We start from the raw sequence: 15,334 nt of genomic DNA, 5'->3' as shown, positions 1-15,334 counted from the left end.
ACTCAATTCAAGTTCTTATTACCATTATGTTATTCTGTCATTTATATCAGAATGAAAACTAAAAAAGATTAATATAATAATATTCTAAATTAGGATGTTTTGTTTTGAGACAGCGTCTTGCTCTGTCATCCAGGCTGGAGTGCAGTGGCATGACAATAGCTCACTGCAGCCTCAAACTCCTGGGCTCTAGGGCAGAACATTTTATAAGTTATGCTGGTAAACTGTGGTAGCAACGTTTGGGATAGATATTTACAGAGATTGAAACAGATAGGATAAATGTGAATTATGACAGTAGATAGAAAATATAGGCAAAGACCCTGTTGATTTTTAAGTGTTTCAAAAGTGGAGTAAAGTCCTTCTGAAAGCCATAGACCAAAAGTCCTTCTGAAAGCCGTAGGCCATCGTAAATAACTGTCACCATGCAGAGGAAAAAAGCAGAATAAAACTATCATATCAAATCTAAATAAGAGGGAGCCTAACAAAATTCTAGTCCTTCTTAAATAATATTTAAACCACAAAGCTGACAAGAGTACTTGCAGTGATCCCAGGGGCAGCACTGAAAATGGAATTAATTGGGAGGATTTACAAATAAATAATTTTGGTGCCTTTTGGATCTCCAGTAGCCAGGACAGTTTTCACTCTTGAACTGACAAGCTCCCAGTTTCTGTGCATTGCCCTCTTCCCCAAACCAGATACCTGTCTCTATGTCTAGCTAGTCACTGATGTTGCTTCAGAGTCACCAGCCATATTTTTTAGTAAAGTGGTCTTACATACACCCTTGCCCCCACTCATACTAAATTTTGGTAAAAGTGTGAACTTGTGACTTTAGCATTTTTCTGGGGTGATTTTTCTCTAGGTAATTTGAAACCTATATTTGGAACTGTAGAAAATGAGGTTTTAAACAAAGTGAAAGCTAGCATATTCCAGGATAGTTTAACTGACCCAGATAGCATCCCGATAGATGATGAAAGACTTCTATTGAGAGCTTATTTCTACATAGTCTCTTAAAATATGATTTCATTATATTTCCTCCATTTTCTCCTAAGTAGGGTCTTGGGCTGCGTTAATGGAGGCCTTGACCTGGATTTTGGTATGTAATCAGCACTTCGGGCTGGACAGATTCCCTTAGAGGACTATGTTCATTTCTGATGCTGTATTTCGAGAAGGACATTGATTAGAGGAGTGTGTGTTCATGAAGAATGAGCAGGATAACCACAAAGACTACTCAAGGAGAATGGGATGCTTACCCTGGGGAAGAAACATCCTGAGTGAGACAGGATTGCTGACCTGTATCTTAAAAGAGTATCCTCTAGAAGTAGTAGAACAAGCTATTCTGCATTTTTCTTAACAGTTACAACCAGTGGGAAGGAGGTACAAGGAAGATTATTTCAGCTCAAAAGAGAATTCTTTAACAGCTAGGGATGCCCTTCTCTGTAATAACTAGGACTGCCTTAGGAGCTTATGACTACTGGAGGTATTTAAGCTGGCGATGGCAAACCATTGGTCAAGGTTTCTTAATTTGATATAAGGCTGCAGTGCATGTCTTTAATAATGCCTTCAACTTTCAAAATTACATACGTTGTCAAACAAATAATGGTTGACCAGATGTCTGCCAAACACTGTGCTAGTGCAAGGCTGAATATAAAATGAACCCTGCCAGAAGATCTAGCAATCAAATTAGGGGAAATGGCATGTATAAGACTAAGTATAATACACATAAGTGTAAGTGCTATAATAACAGTGTAAACAAAGTCCTCGAAAAACCCTAGGAATAGCAGTGGATGAATTCAGCAAATACTTACTACATACTTACGATGCTATAGACAGGCATTTTGCTATATTCTGTGTTCAGAGTGAGACTGAGCTTCATAGTCTCTGAAGACTGTATGGGGTAAGGAGGATTTGGAGGTGTATAATAAGTTTCATAATAGTACCAGTTTTTGAGAATCAAAAAGTATTGTTGCTAAAGATAAACAATTTCTGACTCCTAATCATTTTCTAATCTGTGATAGAATTTCTAGTGTCTACAGAATTAAGTGGTTTCAGACAATCAGTGGACACTTATTTATTAGATGCCAAGTTTGTTTTAGTTAGTATTGGAAATGTAAATACAAAAGACAAGAATTTTACCTTCAAGGAACTTGTAGTCTAGTTAGGAAATTAAGCAATGACATAAAATAATTAATAATTTAAAAATTTGACAAATGTTTATTGCACTGTAATTCTACATTTGCAATTGAACTTCAACATGACTTTCATCTCACCTCTTTGTAAATTATCTGTTAGTTCAAAGAGCTTGTGATCACATTTTCACTTAAAATCTGTGTGTGTGTGTGTGTGTGTGTTTGTGTGTTTGTGTGATGTCATTCATATCAACCCAGCCCTCAAACATATATTCTGAAAGGCTGAAATGGCTGTGCATGTTTCTATTATATGCGGTCTCCTTTTAAAAGAAATTTCTCCCTCTCAAGTACTCAGCTCCTTAAGGACAGGATTCTAGCTTGTTTTTCGGATCCCTTTCTGTGGAGCAGAGATAGAAAATGGGTTTAGATTTATCATCTTATCAAATTAGTTTCTTCTTTCACTCAGTTTTCTTAAAAGACCTAAATTTTCTAAAATTTAACCTTCCGTCCTTTGGTATTGGTGGGTTTGTGTTCATTAGATAACTGTGGCTTCAAATTTATTTCATTAAATTTCCATCTGAAAAAAAATCACTTAATCCCCAAATTTAGTTCTCTTTTGATAAGAGTTGTCTCCATAATGCAGTTTGCCTAAAATCACATAGATATGTTTGTAAATATTCTGTTATTTAATTATTTGCATTGCTAGAGTACCTAGAGTTAGTTGAACATTGAAAAGCAAGCAAGGGCTCTTGGGAAACATTCTTTCACAGAATCTGTTGTATGTCCGCTCTCCTTCTAACATGAAGAATGTTAATGCTACCATAACCTATTTACAGAGTACTCTTAAACTGTCATTCACTTTTATACCTGTTATCTCAATACCCCTGTGTAGTGCATTTCCTTATTTTACAGACAGGAAGAGGAATGTCAAGGAGATTAAGTGATTTGTCCAAGATTATACCGCTAAAGAGAGGCTGAGCTGAGACCAACAGGCCTGTCTCATGAGCATGAGTAAGAGCCAGCCGGGCTGATGTTAACTTGTATAATCTTATGCTCTGGAAGGTGTGCGTGCCACGAATCCAATAAGGAGCACATTAGTAAATGCAACTTGCAGACATCATGTGAAGTGACTCTTGATGCCAAGAGAAGGTACAGCAACCTAGAAAATGTGCTTTTGAAAAATGTATATAATGCCTTGAAAAACTCTGTTATTTTAAAGCAAGAACGTGATCAAATATTTTACTTTTGTGCATTAGACAGGGAAGACTAACTAAGGAGAATAATGGCAGTATTTCAACCGTCTGCAGTGTTTTGAATTGTATGTTGGCGAGTACAATAAGTAAAAATATATCTAATGTCTTGAAACTTCAAGATATGTAGCTGTCCTTCTTAAATTTCTGTGTTTTAAAAGGAATGTCTACATAAAATACACATTTTGGATTTTATGTGTAGATCTAGAGTTTATCATGTTGATGACTAGAAGTGAGACTTATTTAGAAATTTTTTCTTTGGAATCTATCTTCTTAGTGAATTGCTTATATGACATTTTCATTTCCATTCTTAAATGAAAAATATAATCACATATTTTTGTTAAGAGAATTACTAAAATAAGATTAAAAATTAGATGCCTCTTCTCAAGTAAAAGCACTTTTCTCTTACAGGGTTGGGACGTATGAGCAGAAAAGTTTAGAATTCAAAAAGACTAAATACAGAAGACATTTTAGAAATTCAATTTTCATCCAACTTTTAGCTTTTATGGAAGGGAAAATGGAAATCCAGAAATCTAAGGTCACTTACTGGAATATTATTATTCATATTAATAATTATCATATGAAAACTACATTATATGGAATTATTACATCACTTACTATTACATCACTTACACTTATGTTGTATTATACTTAGTCTTATACAAATGTAGTCTTCCAATGATAATTATTAGTATAAATGCTACTGTTAACAAGATTAAATTCAACCATAACCGCACTATAAAATACAAGTAATGTCCCTGGGTTAGGTTTCACAAATACATATTTCTTGAGAAGCTCTGAACATGTCTCAGGCTTAACTAAAAGAAAATCTTTTGCCTTTCAATTGTCATTATTGGCTTCACTTTGATCATTTAATAGAATTCAGAACTGTGAATTGTGAATTGGGGCTTGAGATATATAAACTGAGTATATTTTAGTATCAATTTCAACAGCTGAACCCCACCAAAATGGTAATCCAGCCTTCCAATTTCAGGAGGAAGTTAAAAAGTAAACATTGTAAATTTCTGCCTGAAGCATATTACTTTTTCTTTCATGGTTGGAAGTATCATATATCCAAATTCCAAACCAATTTCCACAAGCTCAGAAGGTTCAATTCTACAACTAACTTTAGCAAGATATGAAATGGAAGAATTTCACTCAGCAGTAGAAATCTAGGGAGCAGGGGTTGATGTCAAGTCCTGGGTGAAGAAGTCCTTCTTCTGTCTCTGGGGTAACCATTGCATGGAGGTAGCAGCCCCAGGAGGTAGGGCAAGAAAATGCACCTCCATGTAAGCAGGCAATGGGAGACTCCAGAGATGCTGGGAGTGGACGCAACACCCAAAGGCCCACACAGGAAACAGAAAATGTCTTTTATCCAACCAGTGTAGCTGCTTTGAAGCAAGAGAAAATGTCAAAAGAAAAAGAGGACAATTTGAGTTAGCACAACAGGGTGACTAGAGTCAACAGTAATTTATTGTAGATTTCAAAATAACTAAGAGTATAATTGGAATATTTGTAACACAAAGAAATGATAAAAGCTTGAGGTGTTGGATACCCCATTTTCCCTGATGTGATATGTGATTATTATGCATTGTATGCCGGTATCCAAATACATCATGTACTGCATAAATATATACACCTACTATGTACCCATAAAAATTAAAATTAAAAATAAAAAGGACAATTTGAATATTATGCAGACATGAAAATTGATGAGTTAAAAATGAATTTGCTCTTAAGAGAGCAATTTATAATCTTAGGTTTATAAAATGAAAAGAGTGTACAGGTTTATATTACTACATATTCATATAAATGCATATATATGAGTGTATCGTTTTATGAGTAAGCATAAAAATGAGGATAAAAACACCCCAAGGTGGTGACATTAAGTGGATGTGCCATAGATGCAGGCGAAAAGAAAAAGATTAAAAAGGGTGAGAGTTATGGCACCCTAGCTTAATTTGGTGGCCCTTTAACATAGAAATAAATATGATGGGATTCAATGATGGGAACCCCATCATTGACCACCAACCTGAATGATGGGATTTTTCCTCTAATATTTGATATTTTCTTCCTTCTAAGTTTTCTTGCAACCACCCAGAAGATTCCGAGTTCTCCACAATTCAACTAGGAATTCTACCTATTTCTGTTACAGTTTCCAAACAAAAAACTGCTCTCTCCCCTCAAATTCTAATTTCCCATGGCCAGCTGTGCTCTCCCACGTGCTGCAGGTCCAGCGTGGGCCTGGTAGACCCTTTTCTTGTGGAGTCAAGGTCTATTCTGATGTGGTCAAAGCTCTAGCTCTCAGTAATATTTGCTGAACAAATCAGATGGAAGGAAACTTCTGCTTTGTGGTCAGGGCTTTTTATTCAAGCAGAGCTCTGGCATTGAGGAGAAAATACGGATTTGATGAAAGATCTTCTTTCAAGCTGAGATTGATTTCCTCTTGGAATCAATACTGCATTTGCAGAGTTGGGCAAAGCAAAATTGATGAAGGTCCCAAGGCAGATTGTGCTAGTAAAAAATGGAGCACACGAATACAAGAGAGAGTCCTCTCTTGAAACGGGCAGAATTTGGCTTCTGAGGGGAATTTTCTAAACAATTTAAAATACTAATTTGTAAATATATGTGCATATTTTTTTTACTGTGCAATATGGGCTTGATCTGCACAGCCATGATGGAGTTGGGCTGGTCCTGAACCCAGCCACCAGTGTTCCGGGCTTTCTCAGCTTACTCTGGTTGGCACAGTTCTGCAGCAGAGTGCTCCCCTCATCAAGGCAGCACTTCAGCTGGGGCCATCTCAGCTGTAGCGCTTCACCGGTGGACCTCACATTTGCTGCGTTGGTTGCATGTTGCTCTGCCTGCGGAGTTGTGTGAAACAGGGGTGACTTCTGACATCCTTATTAATTACTTTTCTTTTTCTGAGTCAACATCTTCTTTCTCTGATTCTCATGTTTGCCACTATTCCGGGAAATTAAATTCCAATTTAATTACACAGAGTGGGCTTTTATTTGATCCCCATTAATAATTATGAAATGTAATGTCTTGAGCATTGAAATGCCTATTCATCTCATTTGTGGCAAATGATCTTTTAAAATATAAAAATGATTTTTTAGCTAATAGTAAATTGAGGTATTTTCTGCACAGTTGTTGTAACACTGAGATTGGGTCTGTTAAATTCTTGACTACTGTTTTCTTTAGAACAGAAATGTCTCTATGAGCGTTTTGATAGTGGCTTATTCTTCTCCATGGAAGAAGATAGCAATAAAACTGTGTGTGCATGTAGTTTATTTTTTTACTCCCAGAGTATCTTAGAATTGCATTGCTTTAAAGTCTTCTTTAGAGAATATCAAGTTTTCTTTTCTGGGAATTAGTGGTTAGCTCATAAAGTTTTAAATTGCCATTGTATTAAGAATGTTCACTACTGGGTATGTATGTAAAGGAAATGAAAACAATATGTCAAAAAGATACCTGCACTCCTGTGTTTATTGTAGCCCTATTCACAAATAGCCAAGATATAGAACCAACCTGTGTCCATCAGTGGATGAATGGAAAGAGAAAATGTACATCTACACAGTGGAGTATTTTTCAGTCATAAGAAAGAATGAAATCCTGTCATTCGTGGCAACATGAATGAACCTTGGAGGACATTATGTTAAGTGAAATCAGCCAGGTTTAGGAAAGCAAATACAATATGACCTCATTCATATGTGGAATCTAAGAAGTTGTTCTCATTGACTTAGAAAATAGAATTGTGATTGCTAGAGGCTAGGGAGGGTCAGGGGAGGAAGAGGATGGTGAAAAATTGGTCAATGGGTACTAAGCTATGGTTAGATAGGAGGAATAAGTTCTGGTGGTCTATTGCATAGTTGGATGACTAGTTAACAATGATATGTTGTATGTTTGAAAATAGCTATCGGAAAGGTTTTAGAATGTTCTGATCACAAACAATAAGTGTTTAAGGATATGCTAATCACCCTAATTCAATCATTATACAATTTACACATGTATCAAAACATCATGTTGTACCCCACATATATGTAAAATTATGATGTGCCAATCTTAAAAAAAGCAATGTTTATAATTCAATTTTGCTTTTACTATTGTTAAAATGTTTTATCTCCATTACTTAGAATACCGCGTGATGTGATCATAGAGCCTTCCATGTAACATTCTCTAGTGCCCTTGATTCTTTACCTATGTTACCTCAATCCTGCTGTGAATAAATGATTGTCCCCACTTTGAGGAAATGGAGTTTGGGGAGAGTTGAGCGACTTGGTTAAGATCATCTGGCTAGTAGATGGTGAAGCCAGGCATTCTATCTGGTAGAATGATGTGGCTTTCCCAAACCTCATCCTGTGTTATCTCAGAGCTACTCAGAGGTATAGAATGAGGCAAATAGATTTGGGCTCTGGATTGAGAGGCAGGCATAGCACCTGCAAATTCTATTCACATCCCAGCGATGCGAATCCCCTTTCTTCTTTTACCATGCTTTCATAGGGTTTTTTGTTTTTCTTTCTACCACTGCCTAACTGTATGCACCCTTTAGTCTCTTGCCTCTTCTGTAAATACTGACCTTCTCAGTCTGCACATCTTCTCCTGTGGATCCATTTCACATTTCTGGATCTAGCTGCACCTCTGTCTCTGACTTTTCTTTCTCTCACTCCATCTGCTTTGGCCACTTGAAAATTACAAAGTCAACCGCTACTCATCAGTGAATGAGAAGAGTGCTTTAAGAAGAGGAAACGTGTGCCTAAAATAATGTACATAGCGTCGTCCCTATTCCCTTTTTCACTCAAAAATAAAAGAAGAGTTTCAGATGATTCAAAAACTCACAGTCTACTTTTGAAAAGCATATTATCTCAGGAAGGATACAAAATGTTCTAATCAGAATTATATAAATAGCCTAAACATACACACACAGTAGTGTGGATGGTAAATATGGTTGTGGGCTGTGGGGAAGGGGCTCAGATCTGACATAAAGGTAGGTTGGTTTAACCTGGCTGTTAGGACCAAATATCACTTAATTAGAAAGGCTTGATGCAGGCATAGGAACTAGAGATAATTTTTATTTGGGAACATAGGCTGTCTAGGAGAGTTCTTTTTACCTTTTCTGAGTTCTGAGCCAATTTGCCTGAAACATATGTCAGATTTATACTTTATTTTTAAGAGGTACAGAGAAAAAAATAAAGGAGTAAAAAGCAGTGCCAGCTTCTGCTTAAAAGATTATTTTTAAAAAGCTGGAATCAAATCAGTGAACTTCAAGTACATGTGTTATGTTATCAGTTATTCTAACTCAAAACCCATGATATGCTGATGTATCCAGTGCTGGAGCATGCTGACCTTGGAGGTTCTCTCACTTCTCTGTGCTCCCTCTGCCTCAGCTCTGTGCAGCTGGACCAGAAGAGTGGGAGCAATTAACCTGTCAGTGTCTCCCATTTTTAGTACCTTATAATTTGCATATGAACCAAAAGAAGAGGTAAATTGTGAAATTTTAAACTTAATTTTCCTAGAAGAGTGAATAGTGATATGTTTCTCCTTCACAGCATGTGGGTGGTGACATTCAGTTCCCACCAAAAAAGAATCTGTTTCCCACTCCTTTCTTCATAGGTGAGTTGTTCTTTCAGGTTTTATGGGAACTCTTCAGGCTGATGAGTAAATGGCCTTTCCATACCAAATATGAGCAACTTAGGCAAGATAGAACGTCTAGAACAAGATTTCTCAACCTTGACATCACTGACATTTTGGGCTGGATAATTTTTTATCTGCGGGGCTGTCCTATGCATTATCAGATGCTTAGCTGCATCTCTGACCCCTACCCACATGATGCCAGTGGCAGCCCCCAAGTTGTGACAATGAAAAATGTCTCCAGCAGTAGCCAAATATCTCTTCCGGTTGAGATCCCCTGATCTAGAAATATAAATTATACATAATGAACTTAACAACACAGTGAGAGGAGATCATTCCAGATGGTTGCCTAGCTTCTGTAGGGAGTGGTGAGTGTTGAAACTAAATGGCATTCCAGGGATTATGACTTAAAGGATGAATTTAACACACTTAATGAGTATTTTTGTTGTGTTTATTGTGTGATGACCAAGTTGCTCAAATAGTTTCATAAAAGGCTGTGGATCCTTCTTGGAGCCACCCAATGATGTATCCTGAGGAAGGAAAACCTATATACATTTGTATATATTTTTTTAAGCTTCTGAATCTTAAATGATGGTTTAGAGCCTCAAAGTAAGAATAGAAGGAGACAATAAAAATGACACTGCGTGATAGCTTCAAAATAAACAGAACTTTAAAAAATGACAACATTTCATCATTTGGTTGAAAGTAATTAATGGCAAAGGAAGGGAATTAATGAGCAAGTCCAGAGAGTGAAAGGATCTTCCTGAGCAACAGCGATGGACCAATATTGTTAATTTTGCAAGTGCAGCCAACTCAAGTATTACAAGTTATGGAGTGCAACTCAAGACAGTAAAGGAAAAGGTTAGGCTAAGGCCAAATAATGTGCTGCAGCGGAGGGACTCGATGCTTGCTTTTCAACTGGTCAGTCATTTCAGGAGAGGGGCCACCTTGTCTGTAAGACCTGACTCCTGAGTGATGATCTGAATTCTCACCCAGAGGCTTTCTCAGGCCAAAGGTATCATCAGTCTTCCTCATTCTTGAGGCTGGAGCATCTGAGTAATACCTATTAGTACCATAGACTGAGCTGTCTCCTAGTTAAAGGAGACAGGAAGACCTACAGGTTGTTTTTCATTAGTGCCATCTAAAGAGGCTGGTAACTGATGGCTGGGACATATAGGGAGGGTATATAGTGTTTTCTCACTTGGCTTGGCTGTTGGCAGGCAGAAGCAAACACTGTTGAGGCTGCTTGTTGGGGAAGGAGGATAAGGAATGATTCCATTTAAATTGTTGAGTCTATTTCTCCTCACTCATCAGTGCCATCTCCCTGATTTATTGCTTTTTTCGTTAACATTGACAACAACAATAATTATCTAAATGTATACAATATTTCAAGGTTTCCAAAGAACTTTCTCCTTTGGGCCTTGATTTATTGGCAGCTGCTCCAACAGATTCTTAACTTTAAAGTCGCCTGATGACTCCATTCCTGTACTCCTGAAAATCAGCTTCACATTTATTTCACCTACCATTTAGTGATACTTTGATCCTAATTCCAGCCCTGCCAATAGCTGGGAAATGCAAAGTGCTTTGAGAATCACAAGTGAAAGGAATGTTCTAGGAGGAATTATGTTATTTTTAAAGTTATGAGGTTCTAAACCCTTTCATTTATATTTTTTCCAGTGTAAATTACTGTATTAACATATAGTCCTCCTTGGTGGAAAGAAGTAAAGCTCTGTTAATATTTATTCTGTTTCTAAAAGGTAACGGCAGAATTCCCTGGGTTGTTCACTTGATTTGATGTATACTGATCCTGAAATTGCAAGGCAGACGGGGTAAATGTTGGCTGCAGGCGTGAATCTCCTGCTTAGCAGGCTGCTTTAGAGCTGTTTTCGAAGAAATCTCCATCTTTGTTATTTCTTTCAAGGTGTTGTATAATTTTAAAAGTGGCAGTTGCCACAGTATGTAAAAAAGGCTGACAACTGGCAGCATTCAGCTTACTTTTCTGTCCCTCTTGCAGAAAGCTAAGTGTTTTGCACTGTGGGGGGTGGGGAAGTGGAGTCACAGACTTTATTTGGATTTAGTTGCAACATGCAGCCTGGTGACAATAGACTCCTACGGAGCAAAGCTTTTTGTAAGCTATGCTTGGCAGTGCTGGTAGAAGCCCATCATAATTCAACTCATAATATGTGTTGAGATGGCTGTAATGTCAGGATATCTGTAAATTTTGAAGAGGTAGAGAGTTATTTGCCCTCCTCAATTGTCAGACTTGTAATTAGTCCTTGTTAATCTGATAATAATGTTAGAATCATAATTCCCTGTTTTCTTCATTCAATGCATATTTCCAAAGCTGTGCCCAGAGTATGTTATTTGTAGCTCTGAAGTTGTCAAGAGAAGGAGAAGGAGAAGAGAGATATGGTTCCTCACCTTCAGAAGCTTAAAGATGGAGGCAGAGAAAGGCAGATTCTGAAATGAACAGAATAGCAGGGGGACAGGGCTGCCCAGGGAGCACTGTGCCCTCAGAGCTCTCCTGTGGGAGGTGAAGGGTGGAGGTCAGGGGGATTCAGGTTCAGAGATGCTTTGAGATCCCTTTGGTAAGTTTCTGGGACTATTGCATGTTAGACTTTACTGTGTTCGATGAATTTGTGTGATGCTCAAGGTTGATACTCTCCTTCCATTTGCTTATAGCCTGGGAAACAGGTTGACCTACCTTAGTTCTTTAAAAAAACATGTCATATTAAACCAACAAACAAATGAAAAGTTTTGAAGGAGGCCTGAGACGGCAGAGAAGGAAGTCAGTGGGAACTAGTATGGAATAAGATGCACAAAGATCACCTATTTGGGCAGACCAGTTGTGGAACTGGTTGGGGAATTGGAATCAGGGTCATCTGTTTATTCCCTAACGTCCTCTAATGAGAGAAAACCTGGAAACGAAGGAGCCCTAAGTGCTCTTTCGGAAAACAACTGAGTAACTGTGAAAGGGAAATTTAAGCAAACTCAGGGAGCTTGACTTAATGGAATGGACATTTAGGATTGATACGAGAAAAATTGAGCAAAATTATATGCATGTCAAATTGAACCAAGAAGCTTTAGTAACAAAAGGCAGTCTCAGAATTGAAGTCCTATGTATGAAAAGCGATCTAGAGTGCTTGCCCAGCTCCTCTGCTCTGTTTGGCAAATTATTCTGGTTATGAATAAAGCTGTTTGTAACTTTGCTGATCTTGAACTCTTTTTGAGTTAGGGTTTAAAAGAGCAACCAAATTTCATTGAAAATATATTGAACAAAATTAAAATGTGAAGTAGGTTTGAGAGCCAGCCCTTTCTCTGGGCCCACCAGCTTCCTGGCACACAAGGGTCCAGTGTGTGTTTGTTGTAGCCAAGTAGCAAAAGATGTACTAAGCAGGGAAAAATTGTCTGTTGGCTTTTTCCCCCCTTAACTCTAACTTCAAAAAGTTTTGGAAGTAATTGAACCAAAGATCTGATTAATTTTGAGCTAAAATGAAAGATGCAAAAATAATCTTTGAAAGTAGTAAAGTGATCATATGAACACATCAATTCTGACTAAGATGAGGGGAGTAAGCAAATTTACAACAGAGCAAGGCATTCTTTAAATGCTGTTGTTTAAAATGTTCTTTAAAATGTTTTCTTAGATAAGAGTGGGGTAAATCACACACATATTATTATTAATATGTATTTTTTTGGAATGAAAATAGATATAGGGATTTAAGAGACTGACCAGAGTGTGTTGTTAATTAACTCTTCCTTCCTGTAAAGTTATTTTGGCCAATCTGTCTCTTGTTCTTGGTAAAATAATGAGTGATTTTTATGTTGTTCCCTTTTGCATTATAACTATAATATTTTCTTTTTTACTAAGATGGGGTCTTTAAGCAGAGAGATAGAAAGATAAAAAATGAGAATAAAGGGAGGAGGGCAGTCAGAGAAATAAACAAAGGTGGTCATAGTTGTTGCAAAAAAGAGAGAACCCAGGGGTCTTTCGTCCCAAGAGGTTGTTCACCGCCTAAGACAAGAGTTACCTCATGACAATAAAAACAATACTGCATTCGGCTTACGCTACAATTGAGACTATGATTATTTTGACTCCATACCATGCACTATTTTGCCCTTCTGGAGTTTGGTGAGTTGGATTTTTCTCTACCTTGAAACCCCCTCATTTTCCAATATTCTCTGTCCTACGTGGTTTTAATGTGATCAGTTTTTGTTCCTTTACTGTGCTGGGTAGGGTTCTTAAAATGCTTTCTTGACATTTAATTAAACATGTTTCTGTTGGTAGTCCTAAGGTTCTGGATAGGCAATAGTTTCAGGGCCATGGGAAACACACCATTTATAACAATAAGTAGCTAAGAGTTGGGAGGGACTTTAAAAACAGGTACTCTGTCAGCTGTTTTGCTTTTGCACTACCCACCCCCAAAATAATTTTGGAAATCTATCTGTCCCCTTGCACATTTTTAAATGAAGCCTAAAATTTATATCACAAATTTAAATACTACAGTCCCAAATTATGTAGTTTTTAATGTAAATGTTTCCATTTTAGAACAAAAATGGTACATCTCTCTTTTAAGAATATATGATTATATCTGGAAACTACCGTGATTTGTTCACTACTGCTATTCATTTAAAATACATAAATAATCTCTTCTTTAACATATGGAAATTTTTCTATCCTTTCCTTTCCTCCATGAACTGTTATTTCCATTTAACTTTCTTCACAGAACTTAAAGTAATATATCTATACTTTAAAGGCTTTTATTGATCACTCTTTCATACCTCTCTATAATGAAAATATTTATATAAATTAAAAATTTTTTTTTCTGAATTAGATTTTCATTAGTATCATTGATCAAAATAATTTTAGATTTAGGTAACCAATAAAAATAACTATATTTGTTTTAAAATGCATCTGTTAATGAAACAGATGGGCTTTAAATATTTTAATTAGTTTATTCATCTGGGGTGACATTACTTATTACTAGAATGAGAAAAGGCTCAATATTAATTGTATTTTAATTTTTTATTTTTATAGTTTTAAGTGCTGAGAACAATTGTTTTTATAAATGAATTGATGAGAAAAAGATATATTTGTCTTTCCTCTCTTCCCAGTTTTTAATTAAAAATTTGTTTATTCTCTCTTTTGTTTAATAGGTGCTTGCCTTTCATTGGCTAGGAACCCTTAATCTATTGTAGATGTTAAAAGTTTGAATCAAGATTGCTCTAGCTTGAAATTGCAATTGGTGGTGCTTGCTACAATTTAAAATCCCCTTTGTAGGGATACTATGGTACTCTTCCTAGCTCCCTGCTTCAAGTCAGAAGCATGATTCCCAGATGCTGAGAAAATGGACAACTGATAGCTTATAGCTGCCTCTCACTGGAGAATTGCTCTCATGCTCTCAGCCAAAGGGACCTGCCTGGCCCTAGATTAACATGCTGGTGTACAGCCCTGTCTAGCTGGTGCAGGGGTACAAATGCCTGGCTTCAACTGGAACAAATCTTCTTTCTTTTTTAAAAGTACATTAATTTATTGTATAGTGCGGAAAATGCAAAATTCATGAAGAACATACTCAGCTTCAGACACCAACAGTTTTTGACTGTTTCTGTTTATATTTATTCTGATACTAACTTGCAAAATTCTAAATAATATGCCTAGGATGTCTCCTTCTGGATTCATGATTTCACAAAAGTGGAGGATTTGGTTCATTACAAATACCCCAAGGTTTGGGCTTTGATTGAAACTGTCACCCAGATAAGGAACCTCATACCCAACTGGAAACAAAGCTGAAGGGTCAGCTCAGCTCTAGAGCTCCTTGTAGAATTGGCCTAAGGCTTCTGTTGGAACCATTGAGCTTTCCCCTCCACCCAGTCCTGCCTTCCTCGCGTCCTCGCAAGTGTATTCTTGGGAGTACCTCTCATAGCTGTTTTCATCTCTGAGTCTGTTCCCAAGAAACTCATTGTAAATTCTCCATTCAAGAAATTTCACTTTTGGAGTGTGATTCTGCTGGAGGGAGTGAAAAGAATCATTTAAATTTGGGTAGAAATAATACAACGAGCCTATTTCATATATTGTGGTTATTTTTGCTAGTGTCTTTTTATATTGTTTGTGTTACGAAATATCTATATTCAACAGGGGGACAGCTGTTGAAAATATGACCCACCCTTGATAAATACTCTCTTTGGATTTTTACTAATGAGTCAATAATATTTTGGTTATGTCTTGGATGATCTCCTTTCATTCCCAAGTGTGAGGTAGGATAAACTCAACTGCAATATACTCACATTTTAAAATGTAATAATCCTCACATTTAAAATACCTCAACATAAACTATG

General features: G+C 36.8%; 1 protein-coding gene across 21 annotated transcripts in view; it reads left to right on the top strand.

The window, feature by feature from the left end:
* The window catches only part of FGF14 (fibroblast growth factor 14), a 691,640-nt gene that overhangs the window by 178,475 nt on the left and 497,831 nt on the right, over positions 1-15,334 (top strand). For 3 of the 21 annotated variants that reach the window (NM_001321938.2, NM_001321940.1, NM_001321933.1), the window contains one exon: positions 3,036-3,272. The exons of the other annotated variants lie outside the window; for them this stretch is intronic. In NM_001321938.2, the coding sequence (NP_001308867.1) occupies positions 3,260-3,272 (13 nt within the window). In that variant the 5' untranslated portion in view covers positions 3,036-3,259. The remainder of the gene's footprint in view (positions 1-3,035; positions 3,273-15,334) is intronic. 21 annotated transcript variants of the gene reach the window in all.

Source organism: Homo sapiens, chromosome 13 (genome assembly GCF_000001405.40).
Source record: "Homo sapiens chromosome 13, GRCh38.p14 Primary Assembly".
NCBI classification, from domain to species: domain Eukaryota; kingdom Metazoa; phylum Chordata; class Mammalia; order Primates; family Hominidae; genus Homo; species Homo sapiens.
This window is presented reverse-complemented; position numbering and strand designations above follow the sequence as displayed.